Here is a 13986-nt window from a genome sequence, read left to right on the forward strand (position 1 = left end):
AGGCGCAGTGGCTCATGCCTATAATCCCAGCACTTTGGGAGGCCGAGGTGGGCAGATCACGAGGTCAGGAGTTTGAGACCAGCCTGGCCAACATAGTGGAACCCCGTCTCTACTAAAAATACAAAAAATTAGCTGGGCATGGTGGCGGGCCCCTGTAATCCCAGCTACTTGGGAGGCTGAGGCAGGAGAATCACTTGAAGCCAGGAGGCGAAGGTTGCAGCGAGCCGAGATCGTGCCACTGCACTCCAGCCCAGCGGACAGTGCGAAACTCCATCTCAAAAAAAAAAAAAAAAAAAAAAAACTCCCAGCCTGACCAACATGGTGAAACTCCATCTCTACTGAAAATACAAAAATTAGCTGGGCGTAGTGCTGGGCGCCTGTAATCTCAGCTACTCAGGAGGCTGAGGCAGGAGAATCGCTTGAACCCGGGAGGCGGAGGTTGCGGTGAGCCGAGATCGTGCCACTGGACTCCAGCCTGGGCGACAGCAAGACTCAGTCTCAAAAAAACAAAAAAAAAAAAAAGTCAGACTCAGCCAGGAACAGTGGCTCATACCTGTAGTCCCAGCATTTTGGGAGGCCAAGATGGATGAGCCCAGGAGTTTGAGACCAGCCTGGGCAACACAGCAAAACCCTGTCTCTACAAAAATACAAAAATTAGCCAGGTGTGGTTGTATGCACCTGTAGTCCCAGCTACTTCAGAAGCTGAGGTGGGAGATCACTTGAGCCCAGGAGGTCAAGGCTGTAGTAAGCCGAGATCGCGTCACTGCACTCCAGCCTGGGTGACCCTGTCTCAAAAAAAAAAAAAAAGATTCGGGCCGGGCGTGGTGGCTCATGCCTGTAATCCCAGCACTTTGGGAGGCTGAGGCAGGCGGATCATGAGGTCAGGAGTTCGAGACCAGCCTGGCCAACATGGTGAAACTCTTTCTCTACTAAAAATACAAAAATCAGCTGGGCACGGTGGTGCGTGCCTGTAATCCCAGCTACTCAGGAGGCTGAGACAGGAGAATTGCTTGAACCTGGGAGGCGGAGGTTGCAGTGAGCTGAGATCACGCCACTGCACTCCAACCTGGATGACACAGCGAGACTCTGTCTCAAAAAAAAAAAAAAGGATTCAGCCTCTTCCCAATCCCTGGGTGAAAAAGGCCCTTCACCCTGTAGTATGGAGAGATAGGAGGACTAGAGGAGGGGGCTTTGGCCCTAGCAGTTCCTGCTGTCTCTCTACCTGTACAGTAGCACTCTATCTCTGTAACATAATCCTCTGAGTAGTCCCTAGAACTCTACATCTGATTCTGGATCTGCCTGATCTGATTCTGGATCTGCCTGTTCCCAGCCATCTCCTAGGGCCTCAGGCCAGGTGCTGAGTCCCATCAACCCCTGTCCCTAGCCCAGTCTTCTACACAGTAGATGCTCTAACAGCTGGTGCCATCCCTCACCCCGCTAGGACCCCATCCCATTCCTCCAACCCTTTTGTGTGGAAGGGGAAACTGAGGCCCAGAGAAGTTGACTGGCCAGAGGTCACGTTCACGCATTCAAAAAATAGTGTCTGGCCAGGCGCAGTGGCTCATGCCTGTAATCCCAGCATTTTGGGAGGCCAAGGCAGGTGGATCACTTGAGGTCAGGAGTTTGAGACCAGCCTGGCTAACATAGTGAAACCCCATCTCTACTAAAAATACAAAAATTAGCTGGGCATGGTGGTGCGTACCCATAGTCCCAGATAACTCGGGAGGCTGAGGTGGGAGAATCACTTGAACCCAGGAGGTGGAGGTTGCAGTGAGCTGAGATTGCGCAGTGCTGGAGATACAAGACAGACCTAGTATATGATGTCATATACGCATAAAGTTATAAATTTTACTGATGTGAAGTATAGCATATAAATATTATTTTTGAGATGGAGTCTTGTACTGTTGCCCAGGCTGGAGTGCAGTGAGTGGAGTGATCTCCACTCACTGCAACCTCCGCCTCCCGGGTTCAAGCGATTCTCCTGTCTCAGCCTCCCGAATAGCTGGGATTACAGGCACCTGCCACCATGCCCAGCTAATTTTTTGTATTTTCAGTAGAGATGGGGTTTCACTATGTTGGCCAGGCTAGTCTTGAACTCCTGACCTCATGATCCACCCACCTCGGCCTCCCAAAGTGCTGGGATTACAGGCGTGAGCCACTGTGCCTGGCCAGCATTTAAATTATTAAAACATATATATTCTTATAAATTCCATATAACCAATCTTTTCTCACAGAAATCTATTTTAGTTTTTTTGCTGAATTACTGTATTTGTAGTCTGCTTGTGCTTATAATTCAGCCATGATATGACAAAGGGACTTGCATCATACCTGCTTGTAATAGTTTCCCGTGGCTGCCATAACAAGTCACCACAACCCTGGTGGCTTAAAACGACAAATTTATTTCTCTCAAATTCTGGGAAACTCAACATCACTGGGCTTGCCTGTCTAGTGGAAAACCTGTTCTTTGCCTCTGACAGCTTCTGTTAGCTGTTAACATTCCTTGACTTGGGAACGGGCAGATTCACGTCTCTGCCTCCATGGTCACATGGCCTCCTCCTCTGTGTACCACATCTCCTCTTTTTTTTTTTTTTTTTTTTTTTAAAGACAGAGTCTCACTGTCACCCAGGCTGGAGTGCAATGGCTGGATCACAGCTCACTGCAGCCTTGACCTGCCAGGTTCAAGCAATCTTCCTGCCTTGGCCTCTCAAACTGCTGGGATAACAGGTGTGAGCCACTGTGCCTGGCTTCTGCCTCTCTCCTAATAGGACATTCACGATTGGATTTAGGGCCCCTCTGTCACCCAGGCTGGAGTGCAGTAACATGATCTCGACTCACTGCAGCCTCAAACTCCTGGGCTCAAGTGACCCTCCTGCCTCAGCCTCCCAACCTCAGGTGTGCACACACCACTACACCCTGCTAATTTCTTTAAAAAAATTTTGGGCCAGGCGCGGAGGCTCACACCTGTAATACCAGCACTTTGGGAGGTGGAGGCGGGCAGATCACGAGGTCAGGAGATCAAGACTATCCTGGCTAACATGGTGAAAACCTGTCTCTACTAAAAAATACAAAAAATTAGCCAGGCATGGTGGCGGGTGCCTGTAGTCCCAGCTACTCGGGAGGCTGAGGCAGGAGAATGGCGTGAACCCAGGAGGTGGAACTTGCAGTGAGCTGAGATGCGCCACTGCACTCCAGCCTGGGCGACAGAGCAAGACTCCGTCTCAAAAAAAAAAAAAAAAAAAAAAAATTTGTAGGCCGGGCGTGGTGGCTCACACCTGTAATCCCAGCACTTTGGGAGACCAAGGTGGGTGGATCACCTGAGGTCAGGAGTTCGAGACCAGCCTGCCCAACGTGGCGAAACCCCATCTCTACTAAAAAATACAAAAAGTTAGCCAGGCTTGGTGGGCGCCTGTAATCCCAGCTACTTGGGAGGCTGAGGCAGGAGAATCGCTTGAACCTGGGAGGCGGAGGTTGCAGTGGGCCAAGATCGTGCCACTGCACTCCAGCCTGGGCGACAAGAGCAAAACTCTGTCCTCAAAAAAAAATTTTTTTTTTGTAGAAGACTTCACACTGTGTTGCCCAGGCTAGTCTCAAACTCCCAGCCTCAAGTGATCCTCCTGCCTTGTCCTCCCAAAGCACTGAGCCACTGCACCCGGTCCCCTATGTAATGATGTTTAATTATATTCGAAAGACCCTTTTTCCTTATGAGGTGACATTCACAGGTCCCAGGGATAATGACCCGATATTTGTGGAGGCCATGGATCAGCCCCTACATGCCCTTCTCCCAGTAAAGTTATTGCCATTAAATCTGATATATCATCTGCTTTCTCATCCTCAAATATTAGTTGGATTAAAATTTCTCAGCTATAGCAGTACTTTTAAATTTAATCTGAATCATTAATATTTTCCTTCACTTTCTCTTTTTTTTGAGACGGAGTCTTGCTCTGCCGCCCAGGCTGGAGTACGGTGGCATGATCTCGGCTCTCTGCAAGCTCTGCCTCCCGAGTTCATGCCATTCTCCTGCCTCAGCCTCCTGAGTAGCTGGGACTACCCGCCACCACGCCTGGCTAATTTTTTGTATTTTTTAGTAGAGACAGGGTTTCACCGTGTTAGCCAGGATGGTCTTGATCTCCTGACCTGGTGATCTGCCCACCTCGGCCTCTCAAAGTGCTGGGATTACAGGCGTGAACCACCACATCCGGCCCTCTTCATCACTTTCTTAAATCTAGACCTGTGTTCTTCAGTACAGCAGCCACTGATACTTGGCTATTGAGTATTTGAAATGTGGCTAGTTTGAATTGAAATGTGCTTTTAGTGTAAAATACCAGAATTTGAAGAGTTAGTATGAAAAAAACAATGTAAATCATTAAGAACTTTATATTGATTACTTGTTGAAGATACTATTTTGAGCTGGGCATGGTGGCCTACGTATAATCCCATCACTTTGGGAAGCTATGGTGGATGGATTACTTGAAGTCAGGAGTTTGAGAGCAGCCTGACCAAATGGCAAAACCCCGTCTCTACTAAAAACACAAAAATTAGGTGTGGTGGCGCTCGCCTGTAATCCCAGCTACTTGGGAGGCTGAGGCAGGCTTGCACCTAGGAGGCAGAGATTGCAGCGAGCCAAGATCGTGCCACTACAGCCTGGGTGAGAGAGCGAGACTTTGTCTCAAAACCCCCCCAAAAAAGAAGAAAAAAAAAACTATTTTGGACATATGTTAAATTTGGACATACTGGGTTAAATAAAATAGGCTGAGGCAGGAGAATTGCTTGAACCTGGGAGGCGGAGGTTGCAGTGAGCCCGAGACCGTGCCATTGCACTCCAGCCTGGGCAACAGAGCCAGACTCTGTCTCAAAAAAAAAAAAAAAAAAAAGCTATTTAAATTAATTTCACCTGTTTTCTGTTACTGTTATATCTGGGTACTCAATAATGAAAATTACATATGTGTCTTGCATTATATTTCTGTTGGATGGTACTGGTCTAGAAAACTATAGAGCTGGGCACAGCAGCACACCCTGTATTCCCAGCTACTCAGGAGGCTAAGCGGGAGGATTGCTTAAGTCCAGGGGTTATCATGGCTGATTGCAGCTGATCAAGGTAAGGTCACTGAACATCGAGCTGTGAAGAAATGTGCAGTAACACCCCAATATATAGTGTTTCCACCATACAGATACAATAGATGTAATCCAAGAGTACAGATAATAGGAAAATGTGGCAAAATAAGTAGGAAATGCTTAGTTTTTAATATTACCCTTAGTTTTTAGTGTAATTTTAATTTTATATAATTAATTTTTAATGACTTTAACAACTGACTCACAAAAGTTCTTGAAAATTTGCCATTTGGCTCTTGCAGAGGGCTCCAGCACACCACTAGATTCCCATAGAGAGTTTGAGCAGAGGAGTGATGTGAACAGATGTAGGATCACTGGTGCTGCTGTGCAGAGGACTGTCAAAATCAATAAGAAAACCACTTTCTTAGCTGAGTGCAGTGGCTCACGCCTGTAGTTCCAGCACTTTGGGAGGCTGAGGTGGGTGGATCACCTGAGGTCAGGAGTTCAAAACTAGCCTGGCCAACATGGTGAAACCCTGTGTCTACTGAAAATACAAAAATTAGCCAGCCTGGTGGTGGGCGCCTGTAATCCCAGCTGCTCGGAAGGCTGAGGCAGGAGAATTGTTTGAACCCGGGAGGCAGAGGTTGCAGTGAGCTGTGATCGTGCCATTGCACTCCAGCCTGGACGACAAGAGTGAAACTGTCTAAAAGAGAGAGGAGAGAGAAAGAGGAGAGAGAGAGAAAAGAAGAAAGAAAAGAAGAGAAAGAGAAAGAAAAGAAAAGGAAAGAAAGGAAGGCCTGGCACGGTGGCTTACACCTGTAATCCCAGCACTTTGGGAGACCGAGGTGGGCGGATCACGAGGTCAAGATATCGAGACCATCCTGGCCAACCTGGTGAAACCCTGTCTCTACTAAAAATACAAAAAAAATTAGCCGGGCATGGTGGCAGGCACCTGTAATCCCAGCTACTTGGGAAGCTGAGGCAGGAGAATCGCTTGAACCCGGGAGGCGGAGGTTGCAGTGAGCCGAGATCGCGCCATTGCACTCCAGCCTGGGTGACAAAGTGAGACTCCGTCCCCCCCCCCAAAAAAAAAAAAAAGAAAGAAAAGAAAAAAGAAAATCCACTGTCTTTGTGAGAGATGGAAAACTAAGGGCTCGGGCAGTGTCAGGGCTGGGGTCCTCCAGTTAGGTGTGAGGCGCTTGCTGCCGCAGTTCCTCCTGTGTCCACAGTGTGGCAGCATAGCCTGAGTGATGGTGCTTCAGAGTAGAGGGCAAGGGCCAGCAGCTGTCCCTTGGTTTGGATGGGGAACTGAGGTCCCCAGAGACCCCCGAACCTGCCAGAGGTTACTCAGAGCCAATAACTTAGGTTCCCCACTGCTTCTGCCCTTCTCAGCCAGGGATCTCAGGGCTAGTAGGGTTTTCCTCCCACTTCCTTACTAATCCTAGTAGGTGTGGAGGGGCACTGGGACCTGTGGGTCAAGCAGATGCCATCAGGTCCACCCCCAGGCCACACATAACAGCAGTCCCAGCCTGGGCCCCACGCTACCTCTCTTGGCCCCAGCTCCTTGGAGAGTTCTAGACATCTTTGCAAGTGCCAGTACTCTGCCTCAGGCAGCTCTCTTCCATGCTACCTTCTCTGGCCCCCTCCCAGGCTTTTCAGGGGTGCCTTTGGGCTCCCCCACCCAGACCGGGGCCTCCTTTGGCACTGCCTAGAGTGTACTCTGTGGTCCCAGTGTTTCCACTCCAGGCTGGGAAACAGGGCCCTAACTCCCACCTTCTCCTGCACTCTCATTGAGTGAGGCCATTAACTTACTGTCTCATTTAATTCTCGCTGCAACCTCTGAGACGTCATGAGGGGACTAGGTTTACATCCTGATTCTGCAATATACTAGCTGTGTGACTTTGGGCAAGTTAACCTCTCTGGCCTCAGTTTCTTCCTTTGTAAAATGGGCATAAGATTAAAGGAATAACTAGTGCCTGGCACAGACTAAGTGCTCAGTGTTAATAAATGGTAGCAATTAATATTAGCCCGCATTTCGCAGATGAGAAAACAGGCCCAGAGAGGGAAAGTGGCAGAGGCAGGATTAGCACTTGGGGCACCAGAGAGAAGTGAAACACAAAGCCCCACCTTCCAACAGGTCTGTGGTAATGTCCACATACCCAGCCCCTTGGGCCTCAATCCTGACAGTCCTTGCAGGGAGCAGGTGTGCCCAGATCCCCGTTCCTGTAGCCCAGCATGAGCCAAGAAAAGCATACTCAGGATCCAGGCTCAGCGAGTGTCAGGGCTGAGAGTCCTGCCTCCAGAGAAGGAGCACTCGGTTAGAGGTCCAGGGACTCATATATTATTCACCTGTCACCTTGGGCAGGTCACTTCTCTGAACCTCAGCTTCCTCCCTTGTATAAAACAAGGACAGAGTAGGTCAGCCCCAACACTCCCCCTACCTGTCTGGCCTTTCTTTCATGGAGGCACACAACACTATTCACTCTCTGTAGATTGAGGAGGCCCTAAATCCATTGCTCCCTTCTGTCTGGACCTAAAGGACACAAGACCTTATTAAGCTTCAGCTTCATTTGCATACCACATGGGATGAGGTATTCACTCCTCCCTGGCTTGGGCTGGTCTGCTGACCCTGTCTTGGAGTCTCAGTAAGCCCACCCTTTCTCCCACTCCCTCATCTCTCTCCTTCCATCCTGGGCCCTGCCTAGCTCTGTCCCAACCTAGACCACTCCAGGAATTTTCCAGCCTGCCAGATCTGGCCCCCCAGGAGCCACTAGGAAGAAGTTGAGTCCGTGGTTTGGGCAGCTCGAGAGGGTCATGGCCTCAGCTGGGATCTGGGCCAGCTTCTGAAAGCCAGGGCCTGCCTTCTTCAGTCAGACTCTTGGTTTTCCTCCCACTTCCTTACTGACCCTAATCTACCTCCCTTGGAGCTTCCCCACTTGTCGCTCCCTGAGATCACCCTTTCTCTTTCCCTCTGCAGAGGAGTGACCAAGTCACTTCTCTACACGTATCTTCCATTTACTGTCTATAAAACAGGGTTGTTCTGGTATCTATGAGGATTCAGGGAGATATGCACAGATATAGCCTTTACTGGGGCACCTACGTCCGAAGACACCTTCAATGCATGCCATCCTGTTCACCTACCTGCCTACTTACATCCCATCAACCACCAAACCGCCACTTCTGTGGACTTAACTCCTGAACAGTATGGATTATTTGTTGTTGTTTTTGTTTGTTTTCTTTTTTTTTTTTTGAGACAGCGTCTCACTCTTGCCCAATCTGGAGTGCAGTGGTGCGATCTTGGCTCACTACAACCTCCGCCTCCCGGGTTCAAGCGATTCTCCTGCCTCAGTCTCTCAAGTAGCTGGAATTACATGCATGCGCCACCACACCTGGCTAATTTTTATATTTTTATTTTTATTTATTTTGTTATTTATTTATTTTTTGAAATGGAGTTTCACTCATGTTGCCGAGGCTGGAGTGCAATATCTTGGCTCACTGCAACCTCTGCCTCCTAGGTTCATGCAATTCTCCTGCCTCTGCCTCCAGGGTAGCTGGGATTACAGGCATGTGCCATACACCTGGCTAATTTTTTGTATTTTTAGTAGAGACAGGGTTTCACCGTGTTAGCCGGGATGGTCTCGATATCCCAACCTCAGGTGATCCACCAGCCTTGGCCTCCAAAAGTGCTGGGATTACAGGCGTGAGCGAGTGGGCCCGGCAATTTTTGTATTTTTAGTAGAGACAGCGTTTCACCATATTGGCCAGGCTGGACTCAAACTCCTGGCCTCAAGTGATCTGCCCACCTTGGCCTCCCAAAGTGCTGGGATTACAGGTGTGAACCACCGTGCCCGGCCTCAGATCTTTAATCTATTTTTTAAAATTGTTTTCTTTGAGACGGAGTCTCACTCTGTCACCCAGGCTGGAGTGCAGTGGCGTGATCTCAGCTTACTGCAACCTCTGCCTCCTGGGTTCAAGTGATTCTCCTGCCTCAGCCTCCTGAGCATTACAGGTATGCACCATCACACCTGACTAATGTTTTTTTTTTTTTGTATTTTTAGTAGAGATGAGGTTTCACCATGTTGGTCAGGCTAGTCTCGAATTCCTGACCTCGTATTCCACCTGCTTCAGCCTCCCAAAGTGCTGGGATTACAGGCGTGAGCCACTGTGCCCGGCTTTAATCTGTTGTTTTAAATGTGTCGAGCATTAATTATGTGCCAGGCGCTATTCTAGGCACAGCTGGTTCACTAGGAACAAACCCTGCTGGGTCCTGTGCTCAACTCTTTTTTTGAGACAGAGTCTCGCTCTGTCGCCCAGGCCGGAGTGCAGTGGCACTGATCTCGGCTCACTGCAACTGCTGCCTCCTGGGTTCAAGTGATTCTCCTGCCTCAGCCTGCCAAGTAGCTGGGACTACAGGTCTGTGCCATCACGCCCGGCTAATTTTTTGTATTTTTAGTAGAGATGGGTTTTCACCGTGTTAGCCAGGATGGTCTTTATCTCCTGACCTCGTGATCTGCCCTCCTCGGCCTCCCAAAGTGCTGGGATTACAGGCGTGAGTCACCGCGCCCGGCCTCAAATCTTGTTTTGAGTCATCTCATTTAGTCCTTACTGCATTTTACAGATGAGGAAATTGAGGCCCAGGGTGGACTCATGGTTTAGCTGAGGTCACCCAATGAGCAAGGGGATGTCTTGGGATTTGAAGGCGGACTCCAGAGCTGGGTGAGAGCCCTATGGGAGCCTAGGAGGAGGTGAGAGGAGGGGGACACCCCACCAAGGAAATGCCGAGAAGGCAGCCCCCCCCTAGCCTGAGATTGACCTGAGGCTGGGAGGCTGAAGGAAGAACCAGCTTCCCCTGCCAGTGCTGCTGACTCAGGAACCCTCCTGCCTCCCCCAGCTCCAAGGATGGGTGGGCACCTGAGATGACCGGGACCCTGTGTTCAGTTGTTTGTCTGGGCTCCCCTGACCCTCAGTTTCTTGTTCTAGCAATGAGCTGACTTGGCATGGCCATCTGTGCCAATCTCTGCCCCCTGGGGCTGCTGTGGTAATCATAGGCCTGGGCTGCCCTGACTTGCGGGGGAGGGGACAGAAAAACAGTCATTAGTGTCCCAGACCCTCCCAGCCTGGGAGATGGTGCCCTCTCTAGTGCCATTTCTGAACCCTGCCTGATGGTATGGGTAGGCTGGGCCTACATGCCCAGGCCTCAGTTTACCCATTTGTATCTGTATACCCATTTGACCCCTCTTAACCTGATCAGATGGGGCCAAGCTAGGCCTCAGGGTCATTTGGGAAAGGAGCTGGTTTAAAATCCAGATTCTGGGGCCCCACTCGCCTGTCATTCACATTTGCAGGACCTAGAATCTGAATTAACAAGTGTGTGTGTGTTGTGGGGTGGGGGTACTGACACTTTGCGAATCCGTTTGCCATGAGACTCTTCCCTGCCTATCCCCTGGCTCCTTCCACTAGGTACACTCCTTACCCATTACAACCCATGTGCACTGTCCTCTCCCAGCAGGACACTGACCCTGGGCCAGATGCCTCTTCTGGGCTCCCACAGCCCCAGTGCATGCCCCATCATAGGACGGTGAGCTATGGTTAGCTGTGGTCTCGACTCAGTTCTGTTGCCCTGCTCCCCAAAAAACTGTGAGATAGGGGTTGGGAAAGGCATGGCTGCTTACTGCCTAATAACCAAGTCCCATTGAAAAATGGGGACTGCTGGCTGGGTGCGGTGGCTCACACCTGTAATCCCAGCACTTTGGGAGGCCAAGGCAGGCAGATCACGAGGTCAGGAGATCGAGACCATCCTGGTTAACACGGTGAAAACCCGTCTCTGCTAAAAATACAAAAAATTAGCTGGGCATGGTGGCACAGACCTATAGTCCCAGCTACTCAGGAGGCTGAGGCAGGAGAATCGCTTGAACCTGGGAGGCAAAGGTTGCAGTGAGCTGAGATTGTACCACTGCACTCCAGCCTGGGCGACCGAGTGAAACTCTGTCTCTCTGTCTCAAAAAAAAGAAAAAGAAAAAGAAAAATGGAGATTGGGTGTCGGGTGCAACGGCTCATGCCTGTAATCCCAGCACTTTGGGAGGCCAAGGCAGGCGGATCATCTGAGGTCAGGAGTTCAAGACCAGCCTGGTCAACATGGTGAAACCCGGTCTCTACTAAAAATACAAAAATTAGCTGAGTGTGGTGGCGCATGCCTATAGTCCGAGCTACTTGGGAGGCTGAGGCAGGAGAATCACTTGAACCTGGGAGGCAGAGGCTGCAGTGAGCCAAGATAGTGCTACTGTACTGCAATCTGGGTAACACAGCAAGACTCCATCTCAAAAAAAAAAAAAGAAAAAAGAAAAGAAAAAGGAAAAAAAGGCTACTCCATAGGCAGAGTTGTCCTTTGTTTTTTTGAGATGGATTTTCACTCTTGTTGCCTAGGCTGGAGTGCAGTGGTGCAATCTCGGCTCACTGAAACCTCCGCCCGCCGGGTTCAAGCAATTTTCCTGCCTCAGCCTCCCGAGTAGCTGGGATTACAGGCATGTGCCACCATGCCCGGCTAATTTGGTATTTTTAGTAGAGATGGGGTTCCTCCATGTTGGTCAGGCTGGTCTCAAACTCCTGACCTCAGGTGATCCACCTACCTCGGCTTCCCAGAGTGCCAGGATTACAGGCGTGAGCCACCGTGCCCGGCCAAGTTGCCTATTTTTGTGGTCATTTCCTGATGATATGCTAAACGTGGATTATTCATATCTCCCCTTTTTAGACCATATAGAGTAACTTCATGACGTTGCCATGACATTTGTAAACTGTCATGGCGCTAATGGGAGTGTAGCAGTGAGGATGTCCAGAGGTCATTCTCGTGGCCATCTTGGTTTTGGTGGGTTTTGGCCAGCTTCTTTACTGCAATCTGTTCTATCAGCAACGTCTTTATGACCTGTATTTTGTGCCGACCCCCTCCTAGCTCATCCTGTGACTTAGAATGCCTTAACCATCTGGGAATGCAGCCCAGTAGGTCTCAGCCTCATTTTACCCACCTCCTATTCAAGATGGAGTTGCTCTGGTTCATATTACCCTGACACATTTAATCTCCACAACAACCCTTTGAGGTAAATACTAATATTATCACCATTTTTACTGATGAGGAAACTGAGGCACAGAGAATTTGAGGTAACTTGTTCCAGGTCACATAGCTTCCAAATGGTAAAGTGGGAATGTGAATCAACGTTTTTTTTTTGTTTGTTTGTTTGTTTTTTTCATTTATCACGCTTGTTGCCCAGGCTGGAGAGCAAATGATCTCGGCTCACTGAAAGCTCCACCTCCTGGGTTCAAGCGATTCTCCTGCCTCAGCCTCCTAAGTAGCTGGGACTACAGGCACCTGCCACCATGCCCGGCTATTTTTTGTATTTTTAGTAGAGACTGGGTTTTTCCCAAACTCCTGACCTCAAGTGATTTGCCCGCCTCAGCCTCCCAAAGCGCTGGGATTACAGGTGTGAGCCACTGCTCCTGGCCTTTTTTTCGAGATGGTCTTGCTCTGTTGCCCAGGCTGGAGTGCAGTGGCACGATCACAGCTCACAGCAGCCTCAACCTCCTGGGCTCAAGCCATCCTCCTGCCTCAACCTCCTGAGTAGCTGGAATTTACAGCTGGGCCACCATGCCCAGCTAATTAAAAAAATATTTATTTATTTTTTTTCTGTAGAGATGAGATCTCACCCTACTGCTCAGTCAGGTCTCAAACTCCTGGGGTCAAGAGATCCTCCCTCCAAGGCCTCCCAAAGTGCTAGGACTACAGGCATGAGCCACCGCGCCCAGCCAGCAACTTCTTAACACTTCCTGTGTGAGGCAGGGCAGGGACCAGAACCCAGACCTCTGAGCTGTCCCTGCTGCCTGTGCTGGTGTGGCGTGGCCAGTGGCCAAAGGGGTCTCATCCTCCTCAGTCCAGCAGCTCTGCCAACAACTAACAGCCTTTGGCTGATGGTCTCAGCTTCCTCATTTGGGATGGGTAATATTGTTGGCTCCCTCGTAGAGCTACTGACAGCACTAAGTCAGCTGAAACCAGGAAAGGGCTTTGAACAGCGCCTGCCCCGCAGTAGACACTTAGGGGCTTTACTGTCGTCATTCTCCCTCCTCTCACCTCCTCACTCACTCCTGGGCCCTCTTCCGGATCCAGCCCCAAATACGGGGAAGGGCTGAACACCGCCGGCCTGGCGTGGGTGGAGGGGGACAGCCAGGCCCCAAGGCTTGGCAGCCGCCTCGGGCTCAGAGGTCAGCTCCTGCTCCCTGGACACAGCTGGTGGGGTTGGGGCCTGTCCTACCTGCCCCACCTAAGCTTCTAGGACCTCCCGCAGCCCCAGCCCTGAGCCAGGCGGCCTATCCTCAGCCTGGAAGGAAAGGTTCAGCCTCGAGGCCATTGTCCAGATGAGAAAAGGCCTGGGAGGTGGGTGGGGACAGGCAGACGGCCCCTGAGAGTAGGGGCAGGGCTAAGCTTTGTTCAGACGCTGTTCTCTGCGGGGGGAGGTCCTTCCCCCATCTCCGTAAAGCTCCAATCCAACCCCAGAACAGTCCCAAATGCCACCTCCTGGGGATCCCGTCTCTTTCTTTGGCTAAGAAAGAATCCCCTGTGCTGTGACACAGAGCCTTTTGCGTTGGGTCCTGAAAGATGTGTAGGAGTTCCCCAGGGGCTGGGGGTGAGGAAAGAATTCCTGACTACAAAGCCAAGGCAAAAGCACGGCGGTGGGAGGTGCTCTGACAGAGCGGGGAACAGACGAAATGGAGTTCTGTGAAATTGGTAAAATATAAACTTGGCAATCACTTGACCAATGGTGTAGATGGGGAAACTGAGGCGCAGAGGGGCCAGGGAGTTGTTCCAGTCAGAGCTGTCTTGGCTTTCGGAACAGGGCTGCCCCATTACATGAGTGGGCACGTCGCTCGCTCTCTGGGAGGAGGAAAAAGTCT

General features: G+C 50.4%; 1 annotated feature.

Annotated features, from left to right (window-relative positions):
• Positions 6271 to 6370: an enhancer, noted in NCBI's record as "active region_11831". NCBI's record gives its function as "activates an Ori minimal core promoter by ATAC-STARR-seq in GM12878 lymphoblastoid cells {active_cell/tissue: GM12878}" and the evidence as "EXISTENCE:reporter gene assay evidence [ECO:0000049][PMID:35858748]".

Source organism: Homo sapiens, chromosome 17, assembly GCF_000001405.40.
Source record: "Homo sapiens chromosome 17, GRCh38.p14 Primary Assembly".
Taxonomy (NCBI): Eukaryota; Metazoa; Chordata; class Mammalia; order Primates; family Hominidae; genus Homo; species Homo sapiens.